This window comes from Homo sapiens, chromosome 7 (genome assembly GCF_000001405.40).
Source record: "Homo sapiens chromosome 7, GRCh38.p14 Primary Assembly".
Lineage (NCBI taxonomy): Eukaryota > Metazoa > Chordata > Mammalia > Primates > Hominidae > Homo > Homo sapiens.
In genome coordinates, this window is record NC_000007.14 from 37,878,568 (window position 1) to 37,900,719 (window position 22,152).

General features: G+C 36.0%; 1 protein-coding gene across 1 annotated transcript in view; it reads left to right on the plus strand.

Annotated features, from left to right (window-relative positions):
- NME8 (NME/NM23 family member 8) overlaps positions 1 to 21,830 on the plus strand; it is a 51,801-nt gene extending 29,971 nt beyond the window's left edge. Inside the window, exons 13-18 of the mRNA NM_016616.5 lie at positions 5,736 to 5,880; positions 6,578 to 6,685; positions 9,710 to 9,861; positions 15,899 to 16,043; positions 18,303 to 18,540; positions 21,677 to 21,830. Of these exons, the coding sequence (NP_057700.3) occupies positions 5,736 to 5,880; positions 6,578 to 6,685; positions 9,710 to 9,861; positions 15,899 to 16,043; positions 18,303 to 18,525 (773 nt within the window). The 3' untranslated portion in view covers positions 18,526 to 18,540; positions 21,677 to 21,830. The remainder of the gene's footprint in view (positions 1 to 5,735; positions 5,881 to 6,577; positions 6,686 to 9,709; positions 9,862 to 15,898; positions 16,044 to 18,302; positions 18,541 to 21,676) is intronic.

Sequence of the window (22,152 nt, forward strand, 5' to 3'; positions counted from 1 at the left end):
TGGGGTTCTCTTTTTTGGAAGATTTTGTTTTATTTTTGTCTTTTTGCCATTTTCAATGTCTTTTAATATTTAAAAAAGACAATATTTTCAAATACATGTTATTTTTAAATAAATAGACTTTACAGAACAGTTTTAGATTTACAGAAAAATCAAGCCAAAATATTAAACCATTGTAGACTTCGAGAAAAATTAAGAAAAATACTACAGAGTTCCCATATACCTGCTCCCTCCCACCTTCTCCTATCAACATCATGTATTACTGTGATACACTTTTACAGTTAATTAACCAATATTGTTAAAATATCATTAACTAAAGTCCATAGTTTACATTAAGTTTCACTCTTTATTTTGTTCATCCTATGGATTGTGACAAATGCATAATGTCAGGTATTCCCATTACAGTATCATACAGAATAGAATTGCCACCCTAACAATCCCCTGTGTTTTACCTACTAATCTCTTTCTCTCTCCTAACCCCTGGCAACCACTGATCCTTTTGTTATTTGATATGTTATGGGATGTCTTAGAGTTGATATCATACAGTATATAGCCTTTTCATTATATATATATATATTTGTTTTTATTTATTTTTATTTTTTGAGATGGAGTCTTGCTCTGTCACCCAGGCTGGAGTGCAATGGGGTGACCTCAGATCCCTGCAACCTCCGCCTCCCAGGTTCAAGAGATTCTCCTGCCTCAGTCTCCCAAGTAGCTGTGATTACAGGTGTGCCACCATGCCCGGCTAATTTTTGTATTTTTAGTAGAGAGGGGGTTTCCCCATGTTGGCCAGGGTAGTCTAAAACTCCTGACCTCAAGTGATCCACCTGCCTCGCCTCCCAAAGTGCTGGATTTACAGGTGTGAGCCACCACACCCGGCCAGTAGATAGCCTTTTCAGATTGACTTCTTTCATTTAGCAATGTGCATTTTGTGTTCCTCCATGTCTTCTGGTGACTTGATTGTTCATTTCTTTTTATCACTGAATAATATTCCATTGTATGTATGCAACTAAGTTTATTTGTGTAGTTACCTATAGAAGGGCATCTTGGTTGCTTCCAGTTTTCAGCCATTATGAAGAAAATTGCTGTAGGTGTTCATATGCAGGTTTTTGTGTGGATGTCAGTTTTCATTTTAATTGGGTAAATATCTAGGAGCATGAGTACAGGATCATGCTGTAAAAGTATGTATAGTTTGTAAGAAAGTGCCAAAATGTCTTCCAAAGCACCTGTACCACTTTCCATTTTTGTTAGAAATGAATCAGAGTTCCTGTTGCTCTACAACCTTGCCAGGATTTGGTATTGTCAGTTTTTGGGAGTTTAGTTACATTAATAGGTAAATAATATTACCTTAGTGTTGTCCTTGTTTACAATTCCCTAATGACATATTATGCAGAGCTTCTTTTCATATGCTTACTAATCATCTCTGTATCTTCTTTGATGATGTGTTGTCTCTTTATACTTTTTGCCCATTTCTTAATTGAGTTGTTCATTTTCCTCATTGTTGAGTAGAAAGGTTTTTTTTGTTTGTTTATTTTGAATACAAGTCTTTTATCATGTATGTGGTTTGCAAATATTTTCTCCAAGTTTTTGGTTCTTGGTTTCTTAAAAGTGGCTTTCACAGAAAAGTCTTTATTTTTAATTTAGTCCAGCTTATTAGTTATTTCTTTTTGGATTGCGGTTTTAGTGTTGTATCTAAAAACTCATTGCTAACCACAAGGTCACCTAGATTTTCTTCTGTGTTATTCTCTAGAAAGTTTATAGTTTTGTGTTTTACATATAGGTCTATCATCCATTTTGAGTTATTTTTATGAATAGTATAAGGTCTGTGTCTAGACTTACTGTTTTGAGAGGGTATTTCTAATTATTTCAGCACCATTTGTTGACAAGACTGTCCTTCCTCCATTGTATTGCCTTTGCAACTTTATCACAAACCAATTGACTATGTTTGTGTGGGTCTTTTTCTGGGCTCTCTGCTCTGTTCCATTAATCAATGTGGCTAGGTCTGGTAGTATCACTTCTCTAACTTTGTTCTTCTCCTTCAATACTGTGTTACATCTTTGGCCTTTTCATATAAACTTGAGATCAGTTTGTCAATTTCCATATCCACAAAATAACTTGCTGGGCTTTTGGTTGGGATTGTGTTTAATCTACAGACCAAGTTGGGAAAAACTGACATCTTCATATTAAGTCTTGTTATCTATGAATATGGAATATCTCTCCATTTATTTAGATCTTTGATTTTTTTTCGCCAGAGTTTTGTAGTTTTCTTCATTTAGATTCTTTACATATTTTGATAGATTTTTGCCCATGTATTTTCTTTTTTAGTGCTAGTATAAATTGTTTTGCTTTAAATTTCAAATTCCAATTGCTCATTTCTGGTATATAGAAAAAAATTGACTTTTGTATATTAATTATAACCTGAACCTTTGCTATAATAGTCTCTTATCAGTGCCCGAAGTTTTGTGTTGTTGTTATTGACAATGATGATGATGATTCTTTGGGATTTTCTACATAGACAGTCATGCCCTCTGTGAAGAACAACAATAGTTTCATTTCCTCATTCTGAATCAGTATACCTTTTATTTCCTTTTCTTGTGTTATTTCTTTAGCTAAGATTTCCAGTATGAATTTGAAGAGGAGTAGTGAGAGGGAGTAGCTTTGCTTTTTTTTCCGATCTTAGAGGCAAAGCATCTAGTTTCTTTCCATTAAGGACAGTGTTAACTGTAGGATTTTTGAAGATGTTCTCTAGTAAGTTGAGAAAGTTTCCCTTTATTCCTCCTCTGGTAATAATTTTTATCATGAATTGGTATTAAATTTGTCATATGATTTTTCTGCATCTACTAACATAATCATATGACTTTTCTTCTTTATCCTATTAGTGGCGATTATGTTAATTGACTTTCAAATGTTGATCCACCCTGGCATACTTGGAATAAATCCAGCTTGGTCATGGTTTGTAATTTTTTTATACATTGTTAAATTTGAATGGTTAATATTTTGTTAAGAATTTCTGCTCCTATGTTCATGAGAGCTATTGGTCTTTAGTTTTCTTTCCTTGTAATATCTTTTTGAATATTATGGTAAGTCTGGCCTCATGGAATGAGTTAGAAAGTGTTCCCTCTGCTTCTATTTGCTGAAAAAAATAAATTGTTTCCAGAGAATTGGTGTCATTTATTCCTTAAACGTTTTGTAGAATTCACTAGCAAAATAATCTAGTCCTGGTGCTGTATTTTTCAGAATGTTATTAAGAATTAATTCAATTTATCTAATAGATATAGGGCTAATCATATTACCTAGCTCTCATTGTGTGAGTTTTGGTATTTAATATTCAGTGTATTTCAAGGAATGGGTCAATTTATCTGAATTATCAAATTTGTGAGCACAAAGTTGTATTGCAGAGAAAAAGTCTGCTGTCAGCTTGGTTTTTGTTCCTTTGTAGATAATTCAGTTTTTGTTGTTGGTGGTTGTGGCTTGATTTATTTAGATACTTGCAAAATATTTTCCCTTTATTTTTGCTCAATTGTTTTTCAAGATTGTATAGATATCTAAGAATGAACTGATCTTTACACATTTATTTAACTATTAAGCACCTTACTTAGAAATTTGCCTGTGATTGATGAGAAGTAAGGTATCAAGGTGTGGGCCAGGTGCTGTGGTTCATGCCTGTAGTACCAGCACCTTGGGAGGCCAGGCAGCCGCATTGCTTGAGCCCAGGAGATCAAGACCAGCTTGCACAACGTGGTGAAACCTCATCTCTACTAAAAATAGAAAACGTAGCCGGGCGTGGTGGCCCATGCCTGTGGTCCCAGCTGCTGGGGAGGCTGAGGCAGGAGAATCACTTGAACCTGGAAGGTGGAGGTTGCAGTGAGCTGAGATGGTGCTACTGCACCCCAGCCTGGGCGACAGAGTGAGACCCTGTCAAAAAAAAGAAAAAAAGAAAAGAAATAAAGGAAGGAAGGAAGGAGGGAGAGAGGGAGGAAGGGAAAGAAAGAAAGAAAGAAAGAAAGAAAGAAAGAAAGAAAGAAAGAAAGAAAGAGAGAGAGAGAGAGAGAAAGAAAGAAAGAAAGAAAGAAAGAAAGAGAAAGAAAGAAAGAGAAAGAAAGAAAGAAAGGTCAACAAGGTGTTCGGGGCTTTGAAGTATGATTTTTTTATGCATCAGGTTATTCCATGAAACTTCTATGCAATTGCTAGACACCTTTATCTAGAACCAGGAATTCTGTGTGTCTTCATACCTGTCACCAAATATGGCATCAGATAGTGTCACTGGAATGCTTGAAAGGATGTTTGAAAATTCTCATGGACATAGTGCAAGCAAAATAAAATATTTATTATTATATTCATCATGGAATTTAGAGTGAAGCAAAGAAACTCAATGCCGTCTTGCAAATAAGGCATACTCACCAATATTTTTTCAATTTATCCGTTGGACGGTGAGGACCCTCTCTACACCTGGTTTATAATTCCTTTGTGATCACCTAATGAGAGAGTGCAAATTAGGGAAGGCAATCTCCAGGATTCTCAAGGATTGACAATCGACCTACTCTCCCATTAAATCTACTTTCTTTAGCTTTATGCAGATTTACCTTCCCTGAATATTTTTCCTGAGCTTTTATCGTGAGTCATTTCAAGAAGCTGTTAACATTATATGGCAATTGCTTGGGGATTGGTTGTCACTTTTTAAACTGTGGTCATCAGGTACCCTCATTTGAGAAATCTTTTTACAAAATTAGTAATTTAAAAAAAACTTCAGTGTCTTCTAAGAATTTATATGATTCCACTTTTTCAACTTTCAAGAGCTATATATCCTGTGTTTTCCTTTCTTTTCTGTGAGGTAGTTCTGAAGCAAATTATTTCTTAAACTGTATTAACATGCATGATACTTTGTTTTATTCTTTCCTTACAATTGTTTGCTTAGTTCTACTTTATTCACTCTATTTCCTGTTTTTTGGCCTCGATAAGGAGCTTAAGGCTGTTCAAGATCTTAGTCAATATTTGTGCTTTTGACTTATCCTTCTTTGTCACAAGATGACCTGCACAGCTCCAAAGATCATGTCCCTCAAACATTCAAAAGCAGGAAGCAGAAGATGGTGTAGGACAGAGGTTCTCCCCGAGTGCCTCTCTCAGAAGAGTCCCCAGTGTATTTCCTATAAATATCATTGACCATAGCTGGATCACACTGCCACACTTTCTGTAAGGAAGGATGGAGGTGTGAGTATTGGATTTTCTAGGCTTCTGTAGTGGGAAGTAGGCAAGAGAGAAGAAGGTTGAGAAATACCTTCAGGTATTCAATCACCTTGTTTATCCCCAAATGGGACAAATCAAATCATGGTTATTGAACATAAAAATTATTTGCAATGACTTCCATAATTGTGTTGGTTGATTATTTAGGTTACTGTCTACACACACACACACACACACACACCCACACAATCACTCACATTCACATGCATACACCCAAGAAAAAGATTTAATGAGATACCTGTGTGTGTGTGTTGTATATGTGTATGTGTGTGCATGCATGATTCCTATACGATGAAAAATTGGAAATAGCATCATAATGAGATGTTAAGAGATACTATTCACCTTAAATTAAAACCTAAGAAGGTATTTCTGCAAACTTTCAAAATTTCGTATGAGAATAAAGTGCATTGTATGCCCTCATGATAGTATATTATGTATTGTGTACATAACCAGTAATCTACCAGTTTAAAACTTATTATGTAACTGTTTTTATTTAGATGATGTTTTGCGTATTATTAAAGATGAAGACTTCAAAATACTGGAGCAAAGACAAGTAGTATTATCGGAAAAAGAAGCACAAGCACTGTGCAAGGAATATGAAAATGAAGACTATTTTAATAAACTTATAGAAAACATGACCAGGTAGAATCCAGGTTGAGAAAATTCAGTCTGATTTATTTTTGAATCATGTAAACTTTCTCTTAAGTCTGGTTTCTATTTAAGCTGCCAAACTCCTCAAGTCTGTAAACATGTTCTGAGTTTACTTCTCTACCAGTCCTGCTCCCATCCCAATCCTCTGCTCACCTGCCTGTCTTCTCTAGTCTTCCTGGAATGTTACTGGAATAGTAGGAAGGTCTCAGAGGAAGTTACTGGAGTCCCATTGAGTTGAACACCAGAAGTCCAGGGTGTACAATACTATGAAGTTTAAGCAGAGAACTGACTGACTCTCAAGAGCTTTTGTAATCTTATAGTTAACTAGTTCTAGGAAAGAATGAGTTGCTAGAAATGTGCTGGGTTTCTTTCTAGAAGAATGACTGAAATAGCAATTGAGGCTGAAATCCTGCAAGGGCATATAAACCAGCAGGACCATGGGAACAATGAAAGAAACATCTACAAGAATCATGGCACTCCCCTTCCCTTCCTTTCCCTGCTTCTATTCTTTTATAGATATGCTCTTGAAAACATATCAACGGAAAAAAATCACAGACCTCTGTTAAAAGATTATTTTACATGTTACATGTTTTTGATCTATTTAACAATATGCATTTGTATTGCCTATACATAATTAGCTACTGAGCTACACTTCTTATTACCTCTTCTTTGTTTTCTTTTCTAATAGTGGTCCATCTCTAGCCCTTGTTTTATTGAGAGACAATGGCTTGCAATACTGGAAACAATTACTGGGACCAAGAACTGTTGAAGAAGCCATTGAATATTTTCCAGAGAGGTAGGATTCATACCATGGGTCACTATCTGTTTTCGTGGGCTCCATTTTAAACACCTTTTTAGATGTAGAGTATTGGAACCACAGCTCTAGTCCAAGGGAGCTTCTCAGGAAAGCTACCTTTCCTGGGGACGGAGTGGACTGCTTATGACTGGAGGTCCAACCCAGTGACAGCCTGAGGATGGCCAAAGATTTTCAAGAAACCACTGTGAGGTGCTAGGCTTGGGGCTGGGAGCTAAGAGGTGTATATTTCAGTCAACAGGTCATCTCTTGGGAGAAATATCCACCCTACCCGCTATTTAGGAGAAATTCCTTTGAGAAGGTTATGGTGGCAGCTGTAGCTTCTTTAACTGATCATGAGTTTTAAGACAATGATGACTAATTGAATATGTACTCTACAATTCAGGGGGAACATTTATTGACTTAGCTTACTGATTAATCTTAGAAGTCAGCTAAACTTTGTAATCAACTTGACCCCTGGCATATTACCTGGCACATAGGGGGAACTCTTTCAATATTTTCTGAGCTTACCTGCTAGGCTTAGTATCATCTGCAGGATAGAAATAGTATCTCACGCATCTCCATATTTGGCATGAAGCTGATGGAAACAAATTGAATTTCAATTCCCTTGAATTCTTCTTGCTGATTTTAGGGTAGGATTCAATTCAAAGGAAGAAAGGACACCCCTCATACTCCCTTCAGGTGTGCAAGAATATAGATGCTCTTTAAGGTACTGCAAACATGACATACATGTTGACACAATAAATAACAATAGTTATGAAGCCTCACTTACATGAAAGCTGAAGTGCTTTCTTTTGGGTGGGATACACTTAAATCTGACTTGTGTTGCATTAACATGTATTGCCCCTTAGTTAGCCCTACTCAATTATGTCTTTGCTTATGTGCCAATGACTGTGAAGGATAATAAGCATAGAACCTCTGCAAGTGGTGTGAGCAGAGTGCCATGGAATCATTTAATAAAATGTGGCATAGAGTGCAATGCATGCTACCAGAGAGAGGGATTGCTATCAACACAAGGCCTGTGCCAGTAGGCACACTGGTCTAGACACTGTGGCACCAAGTGTGGAGGCTCTCAGTTACTGCCCCATCTCCACCCCACTATCATACTGAAAATTGCCCCATGTTCACAATTAATCTTAATCTTTATTTCTAATTGATCCCCACTTTTCCACTTTCCTTGGCTCCACCCACCACTTACGGTTGCTTTAGGAATAACTCTTCAAATGGAACTTCACCCCTTTCCTGTGCCTGAATATCAGATTCTATGCTGGCATTGTTTTACCCAAAATATGATAATTTGCATAGAAGAGAAGCACAGCAACCCCTCGTTGTTACCTGTTACTCCCTCTATCCCACAATTCCTCCCCGGACATTTTCCAATAATCATGTTTAACAGCATAACAGGGGTTGGGAGAATGCTCTGCATTGAGTAGAGTAAGTGCTCAGGATGACTCAGGCTGTTTCATTCAATCATTGTCCAAATCCCTAACCCCTGGCAATCACAGAGTCCAAGGGACTAGGGCTGAAGGTATCTCCAAATTAGAGGTGTGGGAACAGCCAAGGGCAGAATGGAAAGGTCAAGGTGATAAGGCAAAAAAAAAACAAAAACAAACAAACAAAACCCTGAATGAGTCATTGAGACTAGAGAGAAAAGAAGAGGATCTGGAAGCTGGGGACAGAAAACCAAGTTTCCAGTGATGTGGAGAATCCACATCAGTGTTAGCAGGAAGGAACATTATTCACCACAGCTGGAATTTGTTGGGTTGATTGCCCTGGACTGTTTAAAGGGAAAAAAGTGAAATGAGCAGTGAGCATTATTTGCTACTGAAATATGCATAGATAGATAGAAAAACAGATAAAAAGGACAACTGAAAAAATACCAAAGAGCAACAACTGATTCAAGAGATGCATGCTTATTTATAGGAAAGAAAGCATAACAATAAACTGTCTAATGTGGATGGTCTGGTATTATCAGCATCACTCCTGCCTCTTCCCACAAAGCTGTCCTGTCTACTTCTCTTTTATTGCTGTTGTTGCTCACCTGGAGGTTTCCCTTCAGTATCTTCTGGATTTAATGTTTATAATTTTATATCTTTGGTCTAGAGTCAAATGCCATGTAATGCTTGATAATGTGAAGCATTATCACATGGTGAAAGCCACAGAAGAAAATTTATTTAGAGTTCAATACACACACCATATATTTCAAAGGCATCATCTGATTGCATCTGCAAAATCACCTTCTGAAACAGGTTTTATTGTTGTATTTATATTTGAGACAACTAAAGCACAAAGAAGTTAAGCAGCTCCCTAATATCACACAGCTAGCAAGTAGTGCAACAAGGATTCTACCCTCTGAGCTTTTTCACTGCACAGGGCATCTATATCAGTCTGTTCTCATGCTGCTATGAAGAAATATCCGAGACTGGGTAATTTATAAAGAAAAGAGGTTTAATTGGCTCACAGTTCCGCATGGCTGGGGAAGCCTCAGGAAACTTATAATCATGGCAGAAGGTACCTCTTCACAGGGTGGCAGGAGAGAGAATGAGTGCCAGCAGGGCTTGTAATACCAGGTGCTTGTAAAACCATCAGATCTTCTGAGAACTCACTCACTAGCACAAGAACAGCATGGGAGAAACTGCCCCCATGATTCAGTTAGCTCCCACTAGGTCCTGCCCATGATTTGTGGGGATTTTGGGGATTACAATTCAACATGAGAATTGGGTGGGAACAAAGCCAAACCATATCAGCATTCATTCCTCTTTCATAGTTATCTGTTAATATTCATCGCCTTGATGATTTAAATGATCACATCCTTTCTTCCTAATGACCGTTATCCTTGAAAAGAAGTAGCATGCCCTAAGCCGCCATGTACTTACTTCCTTTTGCACAGTGTCAAGATCTGGAATTATTTGCTGTTATTTGATAACTTTTGAACAACTTATAGAAATTGTGTTATATTATTCTGTTCTGTTCTAATAGCTTTTAAACCTGACTTCTTTTTCAAAGTTTATGTGCACAGTTTGCGATGGACAGTTTGCCGGTCAACCAGTTGTATGGCAGCGATTCATTAGAAACCGCTGAAAGGGAAATACAGCATTTCTTTCCTCTTCAAAGCACTTTAGGCTTGATTAAACCTCATGCAACAAGTGAACAAAGAGGTAAATATTTAAGAATAAAAGTGAATGTATACATTTTCTCCAAATTTTGTGAACATTTAAAAAATTTACAATCAGAAAAGCAAAACAGGAAACAGAAAATTCCAAAAAAGAAAAGTTGCGATGAGTACTCCTATCCTTCATTTAGATTCAACAATTAACTTTGTCATACTTTGTCTTGCTATCTCTCTCACCTCTCCCTCCCTCATCCTTCTCTGTCTTTCTCTTAATCAGAAATGATATTGAATTTTGCTGAAGTCTTTTTCAGAATTTATGAAAATGATGAGTTGTTTTTTCCATGGATATATTAGTACGGAATATCATGTTAATGATATTTCAAATATTGAATTATATCCTTCCATTCCTATTTACATGTTGCTTAGTTATGATGCATTTTTAGATACGCTATTGGATACTATTTGCTTATATTTTACTTGGTTTTTTTTTTCGTATTGAGACTTAAAAGTGAGATTGATCTCTGCTTTCCATTTTTTTGGTTTGATATCTATCAGGTTTAGAAATCAATGGAATACTTCATAAGGAATGTGAATATATTTTTCAGTGCTCCAAAAGAGTGTAAGCAGCACTGAGATTGGTATTTGGAGGTTTGGTAAAATTTTCCTGTGAAAATATCTGGGCCTGTTGTTTTTTTGTGGGATAATTATTTGATTGCTTTCTCTGTTTCTTTTATGGAAATTGCTCTATTAAAGTTTTCTATCACCCTTTGAGTAAATATAGTTAAATTATATTTTCCTAGGAAGTTATCTATTCCAGCTATGTAATTTGTAAAGTAATTTCTTATCATTATTATATTTCCTCCATTTCAGTGATTATTTCTACTTTACCATTTCTTATTTCATTCTCTTTCAAACAATAAAAATTTAATTTATTCATGAGTTCTATTTTTTTCTCTTTTCTAACTACTATTTTTGGTTTTATCTTCATGATTTTCTTTCTTCTATTTTCTAGTAGTTTTTTCTTATGTTCTTCTAGCTTTTTGAGTTGAATATTAAGTTTATTTATTTTCAACTTTTAATTTTTATTGATAAGAATTTTTAAGGTTATACATTTTCCTTTGATTACTGCTTTAATTATAGCCCACAGGTTCTAATGCATCGTGTTTTCATTATCATTATTGATTATTGATAATTAATTATTGAAATTTTGTAATTTTGGTTTGTATTTTCCCTTGGGCCTTTGAGTTATTCAACAAATAAATTATTTTTAAAGAGATTTTTTAAAATTCTGGTAGAAGAAAAAGCTTGCATTTTTTTGAAATTATCGTGGTGTTGCCGAACTACCATATGGCAAACTTTTGTGAAGATTCTACATGTATGAGGAGAAAAAATATTATCACTAGTGTCATGGTGAAAAGTTTGAATATAAGATAAAACCAGCCTTACAGTTTGATTCATCTTGATTTATTTTTCCCCAACTTGATCTGTCTTGAATTTGGGGGATCTGTCAGAAACTAGAGGTATGAGTCACCTGTTTTCAGTATATTGTTGGCTATATTTCCTGTATTTTCTGATTTATAATGTTGGTGGCCATGTTATTTGGTACATAGATATTTAAAACTATTCATGGTAAATTTAGTTTTTAGCATTACACAAAGTTCTTATTTGTCTCATTTAATGCCTTGGGGCCTGAATTCTGTATTGTTTGCTATCAGGACCACACACCCTGCTTTCTTATTATTTGCATTTGCCTTGTACATTTTTGCCCATTTATTTATTTTTAGCCTTTTTGAATCACTTTTTTTAGGCTTGTCTCACACATAAAATCCATAAAGGCAGATTTGTATTCATGGCTTTCTCTCAAAATATATGTTAAACAGCCAAATTCACTGTAATAAAACAGTACACAACTCACGTATTTTTAATTTTTTAAATTGAAACATAATTGTCCATATTCATGGGGTACATTATGATGTTTTGATACATGTACACATTATGTAATAATCAAATCAGGGTATATAGCATACCCATTACTTCATAACTTTATCATTTCTTTGTGGTGAGAACATTCAAAGTCTCCTCTTCTACCTATTTTGAAATATACAATGCGATATTATTAACTATAGTTACCCTACTATGCATTAGAACACCAGAGGTTATACCCATAGACTTATCTCTCCCTATTTCTCCCTGCCCCATAGCCTCCCCACCTCTAGTGAGCACCATTCTGCTCTCTACTTCTAGGAGATCAACTTCTTTAGGTTCCACATATGAGTGAGATCATGCAGTATTTTGTCTTTTCTGTGCCTGACTTATTTCACTTAAGATAATGTCCTCTAGGTTCTTCTATGTTGCCACAAATGACAGGATTTCATTACTTTTTATAGCTGAATAATATTCCATTATGTATATGCATCACACTTTCATTATCCATTCATCCATCAATTTTTGTTGATAATAAATAGGTTGATTTTATTTAGGTTGATTCCAAATCTTGGCTGTTGTGGATAATGCTGCAATAAACATGTGAGTACAGATATTTCTTCAATGTACTGATTTTATTTCCTTTGGATATATACCCATAGTGGGATTGCTGGATCATATATGGTAGTTCTATTTTTAATTTTTTAAGAGCTGTTGAGCCTTTTTTCATGTATCTGTTGGTCATTGTATGTTCAATAGATATCTTCTGAGAAATGTCCATTCAGGTTTTTACCCATTTTTAAACCAGAATCCTTTTTTGGGGTTTTTGTTTGTTTGCTATTGAGTTTAGTTCCTTATATATGCTGTATATTAACCTTTTGTCAGATGCATAGCTTGAAAATATTTTCTTGAATTCTGTAGGTTGTCTCTTCACTCTTGATTTTTTTCTTCACTATGCAGAATTTAGTTTGATATAATCCCATTTGTCTGGTTTTGCTTTTGTTGCCTGTGCTTTTGAGGTCTTACCAAAAAAAATCACTGCCGAGACCAATGCTATGAAGCATTTCACCTATATTTTCTTCTAGTAGTTTTGTTGTTTCAGGTCTTACAGGAAAAAAATTTAGTAGATGAGATAAACTCACATAATATGTTTATTTTATGTTAATAATATGTTTAGTTTAAAACATCTTATTATTTTAAGTTATATTTACTTTACATGTTATTTTTCATTTACTGTTGTTCTTCTCTGTGTGGTCTTTTACATTTTCTTTTGTGTTTGAGAAATTTATTTGTTCTGTAAGCCATTTTTATTGCAATATCTATCAGAGTTGTCCAAGGGAAAGAATATAGTCATGGGTTCTTAGTTTCTGTTTCTGATTGGGCCAGTAAAGCCCCTTCCTCATCCTTCTTTTCTGCTTATCACTAGAGACAGAAACTAAAAACCATGGTTTTGGGCTGCTAAAAGCCTAAAACAAAACACAACAACAAAAAAAGTTGGGATGGATAGGCTTGAAAGTTCACTCTTCTTGACTGAGTGCCTATTATTTGTTTTCTCTGCTTTAAATGATATCCTATTACCTTTGTGACAGTTAGGTACTTAATCTACTTTCTTATTTCTTGAGCTATTCTCCTATTTTTTGAACTTGTGTTAAATGTTAAATGTACTTTGTCAGAAAATATATTATTTACATATATGCTGGATAGAAATAATCCTAGGCTCACATTTTTTTTCTTGGAGTTTCTTGACAGAGTATCTCTATTCTTGTTTCCTGCATTTCTTTCAAGAAACCTGGTGCCATATTTACTTTTGTTTCATTGTAAGTAATATGGTGTTTTGCCAGAAGAAAGTGTTAATTTTTGTTTGTTTCTCAAGTCTAGTAGTTTTACTAACATATGTCTGAGATTTGACCACTCTTGATTTCTTTTTCTAGATACATGTTATTCTTTTTCACTGTCTAGATTCTTATCTTCTCTTATTTCAAGATGGTTTTCCTGCCTTATAGTTTTAAATATTAGTTCTGTTCCATTGTTCTTTTTTTTTTCTTAGGGATTTCACCAGCTGGAACTAACAGGGGATTCTTTTGAAGTTTCTGAGTATTTAGATTGACTTACTCAATTTTTAGTTAAAAATATTCTCTTTTGGTATGATGAAGTCAAATTTCTTAAATACATATAGTAATATATATTATTTAATTATATACACAGATATGTACACACACACACCTACATACACACACGTGTAGACATGCTTATCTTTGCCTAACTTCTGTATCTATCACTTTCCCTATTGACTTCTCTTTCTTTATTTTGCTTTCCTTTACTTGGCTATTTTTACTTCTGTTCTCTATGTCCTTCTCTGTATTTTAAGTTACATTAGACACCTAGTTTATTTCTGTTATTTTATCTTTGTCTTTCGTGAGTGCAGCTTTTATTTCACATCTACTTATTGCTTGGCCATTTCTGGTTTTGAGTTTGAAGTTCTGATTTATGATTTATGATTTTTTTAATGTTCAAACTGCTTAATTCACATTAGGGTGTCGTGTTACAGTTTGGGGGGGTATTTGTCATCCTTCTGCTGGCTTGCTTTCTTCCTACCTCCCTTCCTCTTTCTCTTTCTTTTATTTATTTCTTTAACAGGGGAATAAATTTTTTAATTAGCATAGTAATTTTAATTTTATTTTTATAATGGCTCAGTAAAGATTAATAAGGGTTTGGGTTAGCTCATTTCATTTCTCAGCTCAGATTTTCTCTTGGTTTTGTATTAATATAATTAGGTAGTTTCTTAATAGGTAGGGCCTTTGCAGGGGGTGAATCTGTCTCACTACCTACAGTACTCTCTGTTTGTCTTGAACGTTAACCTGAGCCACTTGCTGTCTTTATCTAAGAACTGTAAGAGACTTTTCTTTTCCAAGGTGGCTCGTTTTACCAGGAAGTATTGATTTTCCAAAAACTGCATTAGTCTTCAAATACCTTGCTTGCAGTGCCACAATCACCCACTCCTACCCTAATTCATTCTTCATGGTGCAAAGGAAATTATCGTTTTAGAGCACAGATCTGAATATGTTCTTGCTTAGAATGCTTTAAATGTTCCTTGTTGTTTTTAGAGGAAAGTCCAGATTTCTTCACAGGGCATAGCTCTTGATAATCCTTCTTCTACTTACTTGGCCAACTTCATCTCCAGTATATTTTCACCCAGTCACTTCTTCCTGCCCTCTGCACTTGGCATACATTACTCACTCTGCCTGCAATGTCCTTTCCCTACTTGTCCACTTGGTGATCACACCTTATTTTTACCATGCTTAACACAAAGGTCAGTGTCTCTGTGAAGTCATCCCTGACCTCTCCAGAGAAAGTTAATTGTTTTCTCACCTGTGGTTCTGGGGACCTTATATATTACTCTATAATAATGATCACTTTCTCATGATATCTTTATAGGCCTTGCTCTCTGTTGAGACAGTCTCTGAGGAAAGGTTTATGTTTTCTTCCCTTTCATTTCTGCAGTGCCTGTCTTAGGGCAGATCCTGGCCACCTCCCTTCCAGCAGGAGAGGTCCAGCCTTCTCCAGGCTGTCTGTTGGTTATAATCATATTGCCTTTAGCTCCCAGACCACTCTATGTGCTTTTGATCTGGAGCAAAGAAGAGGCCGTTTTACCAGAAAGCTCCCAGTTTCTCAGTTGGTTCACCTTTGTCTCTAGAATGTAGCCCTCAAAACTTAGGCTGTTGGTGAGATTTTGACAACATTTGCTTTGTTTAATTCCCTCGATGGTACTCTGATTCTTCAGGGAGAAGAGTTCAGATTGGCTTTATCCTTCAATCCATATCTAGCAAGAAATTCCTTGGCATTTGTAGTATGAAGGTGAAAATAGATCTTTATTCTTAGCATGAGAGCAGGTCCCTTCCCCTTCTACTCTTGTGGCCTACTAGGTGTTTCAGGTGGTTTCTGGAAAGGTGAGCCTCAGAGACTGAAAATCTACATTAACATACTGAAGTTCTGAATGTCAATTTGGTGCTTTGGAATTTTAATTTCGTTTGGCAGAGTTTTGCCATGTTAAACCACAATATGCAAATTAAACTATCATTTTCCTTAGTTATTTCAGTCTACTTGAGTATGGAGGAAAAGTGAAGCAATCTGCAATATTATCAAATATTTGTTTTTCTTAGAGCAGATCCTGAAGATAGTTAAGGAGGCTGGATTTGATCTGACACAGGTGAAGAAAATGTTCCTAACTCCTGAGCAAATAGAGAAAATTTATCCAAAAGTAACAGGAAAAGACTTTTATAAAGATTTATTGGAAATGTTATCTGTGTAAGTTTCTGATACATAATTGTTTGCATTATAAAAGTGGTAAATGTTCATTATAGAAACTTTGAAAAATGCAAAAATTAATTAAAACATTTCATCTAATCTCATTCATGAAAAGACATTCTGCTAACATTCATGGTTCATCTTTTTTCTATTTCCTTACCTCCCTCCCTATCTTCTTTTCTCTCTCTCATTCTGTCTCTCCTCGCTCCCTTTCTTTCATTCTTTCTTCCTTCCTACTTTCCTTTCTCCCTTTCCTTCCCTTCCCTTCCCTTTCCTTTCCTTTCTTTTCCTTTCCTTTCCTTCCTTCCTTCCTGTTTCTCTAGGTCTTCACATTAGATATAGAGGCTGCCTCAGTTCAAACCGCTGCTTCGCCAACATACTTAATTGTTGCCTGAGTTTCCTTATCTGTTGAATGGGAATAATAATAGTATCTATCTAATAGGCTTGTTGGCAGGGCTACATAATTGATGTGTTGAAAGTACCTAGAACAGTGCATGACAGATATTAAACACTTGATAAATGTTAGCTATGATTATTCACATCTTTTTTTACATGTGTTGATACCTTGTCAAACTATGTATACATAATAACATAAATATTACGATAAGAAATACACTCTTTTAAAACTTCTTTCTACATGATGCATCTGTTCCTGACAACACATACTTTTATAACCACCACATAGAAATTACAGGCTAACATTTATTGTTTCCTTAATTCCAGGCCTTGTGATGAGCTGTACACACTTTATTTCATTTGACTCTTATAATAATAACTCTGTGAAGTAGTTTTACTAGAATTTCCACTTTGATTTTGAGAGAACATAGGACCAGGGCTAGAAGTTGTCCGCAGTCACAAAACTAGTGTTTCGCTGGGTCCTGAACCCAGGGAGTCTCTGCTTTTAACTGCTGCTTTCCAAAACTCTCTTTTACACAGAGTTCATAATTATGTGAACATCATTATCGATTTACTATGAGTTACATGTCTTTTCTATTTTATATATATTACACATCAAAAATTTTCTATACAGTCATGCTTTGCAGTACAATATTTCAGTCAATAATGAATCACATGTACAGCAGTAGTCCCATAAGATTATCATGGAGCTGAAAAATTCCTATTGCCTTAGTGACATCGTGATCATTGTAATGCAATGCATTACCATTTGTGTTCATATATGTTTAGATACACAAATAACACTGTATTACAGTTGTCTACAGTATTCAGTATAGTAACATGCTATACAGGTTTATAGCCCAGGAGCCATAGGCTGAACCAGATAGCCTAGGTGTGTAAGAGGCTATTCTATCTAGGTTTCTGTAAGTATATTCTAGGATGTTTGCACTACAATGAAATAACCTAATGTCACATTTCTCAGAAAGTATCTGCATTATTAAGAGGTACATGACTGTACATACACACACACATGCACACACACACACGTGTGTATAAAATACGTATAAGAAACCTCTTTAATTGCATGTCTTCTCTTTTTTCAGTTCCTGACAATTTGTCAATGAGTTTAGGAAGGCAGAATTTATAAAGTTAACAAAATTTAATGGAATATATGTGCTATTGAGATATAAATAATAAGCAGAAGCCTAGGACTGTACCATGACAGCTTAGAAAACTAACTTTCATACTTATTGCAGGTTGCATTTTCTGGGAAGCTGGAAGTTTCTTGTTCAGGCTATTGAGTAATGATGCCATGAGGAAGACAGGGCAAAGAAGCAGGATGGGGATGACGGCAAGTCAAGATGTAGTGCAGACCAGACAACAGCCTCTGCTAACCACAGCTAGATTGGTCTATCAGAGTTGTCCAGTATTGGCTGAGATGACCAGGCTGTTGTATGCTCACATCACTCAGTTACTTGAAGTAGGCCATCCTGGCAATGAGGATGGCCTGAGCAAGGCTATCTTAACTTGAGGCAATCCCTGAAGCGGTTAGAGGCTGCTGGACAACCATAAAGCAACAAGTCTTGAATCCATGACAATGTCTCTATTTACAGACCTCAAAGTAGCAAAATAATAAGACTTCATTGACAAATATTCTCTAGAATTAAATTATAGCACCCACCTAGCATATAAACCTATTAGAAGAGGGAGAAATGAAAAAAAGAAAGTACATGATTGCACTGATAAGGACAAAGAATAAAAAGGAGCTCCCTGGCTCAGGCTGCAGTGTTCTGTCTTTAGCCTTGTTTGCAGTGTCAACAGTTTTCAGTAGGCTGGGTCTTCTGAAAGCACCGTTCTTTGCAGGGGTCCATCTATGGTCATGATTCTGACCAAGTGGAATGCTGTTGCAGAATGGAGACGATTGATGGGCCCAACAGACCCAGAAGAAGCAAAATTACTTTCCCCTGACTCCATCCGAGCCCAGTTTGGAATAAGTAAATTGAAAAACATTGTCCATGGAGCATCTAACGCCTATGAAGCAAAAGAGGTTGTTAATAGACTCTTTGAGGATCCTGAGGAAAACTAAAGTATATACTGTGAAGTACGTACCTGTTTAATTATTATTTTATTTTATTTGCTTGTTGCAGTGACTGAGGCTAGGACAAACCTGTCCTAAAAAGAGAAGAACTTTTCCTAAATTCCTGAATCAAGCTTTATTTCCTGTGAGACACACTGTTCTATTGCATAGTAGCCACACAGCCTCAAAGCTGAACCTTGTAGATGCTGATGACCGTGGGGATTCTGGTTGCTTGTAACCAGGCTGGGGATGCTGCATCCAGGCTGGAGGGATGGAGACAACAGGGCAAGCAACGCACCCATTGGTTCACACAGCTTGGTCTTGAGCTGTGGTGTCTTCTACCATGATATAAAAAGCCTCATGCAGTCCCTCTACTCAGCTCCTTTCCACTTCTCTGCTTTGAATGGCCAAAGTTTCTTTCTTTTTATCTTTATTTGTTCTAAACAAAAACAAAACAAAACAAACCAAACCAAAACAAAAAATAGGATGCATGCGCAGAACGTGCAGGTTTGTTGCATAGGTATATGTGTGCCATGGTGGTTTACTGCACCTATTGACCTGTCCTTTAGGATCCTTCCCCTCACCCCCCACCCCCCAACAGGCCCTGATGTATGTTGTTCCCTTCTCTGTGTCCATGTGTTCTCAATGTTCGACTCCCACTTATGAGTGAGAACATGTAATGTTTGGTTTTCTGTTCTGGTGTTAGTTTGCTGAAGATGGTGACTTCCAGTTTCATCTATGTCCCTGCAAAGGACATGATCCTTTTGATGGCTGCGTAGTATTCCATGTACCACATTTTCTTTATCCAGTCTATCGCTGATGGGCATTTGGGTTGGTGCCATGTCTTTGCTATTGTAAATATTGCTGCAATAAACATATGTGTGCATGTGTCTTTATAGTAGAATGATTTATATTCCTTTGGGTATAAACCTAGTAATGAAATTACTGGATCAAATGGTATCTCTGGTTCTAGATCCTTGAGGAATCACCATACTGTCTTCCACAATGATTGAACTAATTTACATTCCTACCAACAGTGTAAAAGTGTTACTATTTCTCCACAGCCTCACCAGCATCTATTATTCCTGACATTTTAGTAATTGCCTGAATGGCCAAAGTTTCAGTGTACAGTGTACAATGATTGTACAGTGTACAGTGATTGAAAAACCCACAGTCACCTTGGGCTGGTGGGAATATAAAATGGTGCATCTTCTGGATAATCATTTGGCAGTTTCTTAAAAGGTTAAACATAGAATCATTATTTAACCCATCAGTTCTATTCCTAGGTGTATTCCCAAAAGAACTGAAAACAGGGACTCAAACATATACTTGTACAGTAATGTTTATAGAAAAATGATTCACAATAGCCAAAAGGAAGAAACTACCCAAGTGTCCATTAACAAAACAATGAATAAAGTGTGGTATAAAGATACAACGGAATATTATTTAGCCATTCAAAGGAATAAAGTATTGATGCATACTGCAACATGGATGAATCTCAAAAAAATTTTGCTAAATGAAATGTTAGACACAGAAGAACACATATTGTATGTTACCACTTATATGAGTTACCTAGAACAAGCAATTATAGAGAGAAAAAGTAAATTATAGCTTGGGGCTGAAGGAAGGGTGAAATTGTAAGTTATTCCTTAATGGGTGCAGAGTTTTCCTTTAAGTTGACAAAATATTTTGGAAATTGTTTGTGGTGATAATTGCAAACCATGCAAATGTCATTAATAACATTGATTTGTATACTCAAATGGTTGCAATGGCAAATTTAATACACACAACCCCTGACATATTGCCAGGATAAAAAAAATAGTAACAAAAATAGTGAAATAAGGAAGAATGATTTCTCAGACAAGCACAAAAAGCTCTTGCAAGAGAACTCTTCAAAACCCATTCCAAAATGATACAAAATTAAGTTAGTGTTACATTTTTAAAAGAAAATTCATGTAATCCTAACACAGAAACCCTTAATTAAAAGTAAGCCTTTATGTTGGGAGTGTAAATTAGTTCAACCATTGTGGAGGACAGTGTGCTGATTCCTCGAAGACCTGGAACCAGAAATACCATTTGACCCAGAAATCCCATTACTGGATATATACCCAAAGGAATATAAATCCTTCTATAAAGATACATGCACGGATATATTCATGGCAGAACTATTTACAATAGCAAAGATATGGAATCAGTCTAAATGCCCATCAATGATAGACTGGATAAAGAAAATGTGGTACATATATGGCATGGAATACTATGCAGCCATAAAAGGGAATGAGATCGTGTCCTTTGCAGGGACATAGAGTTGGAAGCCACTATCCTCAGCAAACTAATGAAGGAACAGAAAACCAAACACCGCATGTTCTCACTTATAAGTGGGAGCTGAATGATGAGAACACATGGACACATGGGGGGAACAACACACACTAGAGCCTGTCGGTGGGGGCTGGGGGAGGGAGAGCATCAGGAAGAATAGCTAATGGATGCTGGTCTTAATACCTAGGTGATGGGATGATCTGTGCAGCAAACTACCATGGCACACATTTACCTATGAAACAAACCTGCACATCCTGTACACATACTCCTGAACTTAAAATAAAGTTGAAGAAAAAAGTAGGCCTTTAATAAAGTTCTTAAACAGTTAGTAAATAAAGGAAATTTTGTTTCAAACAAAATGTAACAATACCAACAAACTCCCTAAACTCTTTCTTGGGCATCTCTGACCTGAGAGTCCTGCTGAACCCCCAGCTGCTCCCCCAGGCCACCCCACAACCCTCGCCTTTACACTCCAGCCTGTCCATCGTGTTCAGAAGGAGCTGCACAATCTGTCCTGGTATTTTTCTCACCCTCTTCCTATTGTCTTCCTAACCTTTGGTTTAACCAGCAATTCTGAATCCTTGAACGGGTTGGGTAGAAATCTTACTCACAAGTTAATATTTTTAACCCTGTCACAAATGTTTGTTCATTAACTCATTGCTCTGTAAATGTTTGATGACTGCTTACTTGCTCAGTCAGGCTGTCTATAGGTAAAGGTTAAGGCCCATCTCCCAGCTCTGTGATTTGTGTGCAAAACTTCAATATGGAAACTGATAAATGCTGAAAGATTAGTGTATAGCACTGTCATTTATTTTATTAAGTGCATTCTTTCTTTTCCTAGAACTTTGAGAAGATAATACATATGTTCACGTCAATATACAACCATTTGGCACAGCTTCCTGGGAGGAATAATAAGAAAAACATGCTTTGGAGGAAAACTCAAGATACAAAAATGAATGGCTATGCATAATAACAATAAAAATGTATTCCCCAAACAAATCTTAATGTTTATTTTTAACTGATCTTCCGGAAAAGATTTAAGGTATATAAATGCACACAATCTACAACAAGATAATTGAGGGAGGAACACGGAATGTGGGGAAGAAGAGAGTAGGAGAGATCAAATAAAGCCAGGAGTGGAGTTAAATACAAATGCATACTGCCTAATGTATATTGAAAATTGGTCAAAGTTTTGACTCTAAATTTTCTTGCAGAAAATGAGGAAAAGGATGACATGTAGATTTATATAGTTTGCAAACTATAGTACTGTCCAACAGTCCACGCAGTGTACCTAACTCCCTCATGGTAAGATAATGC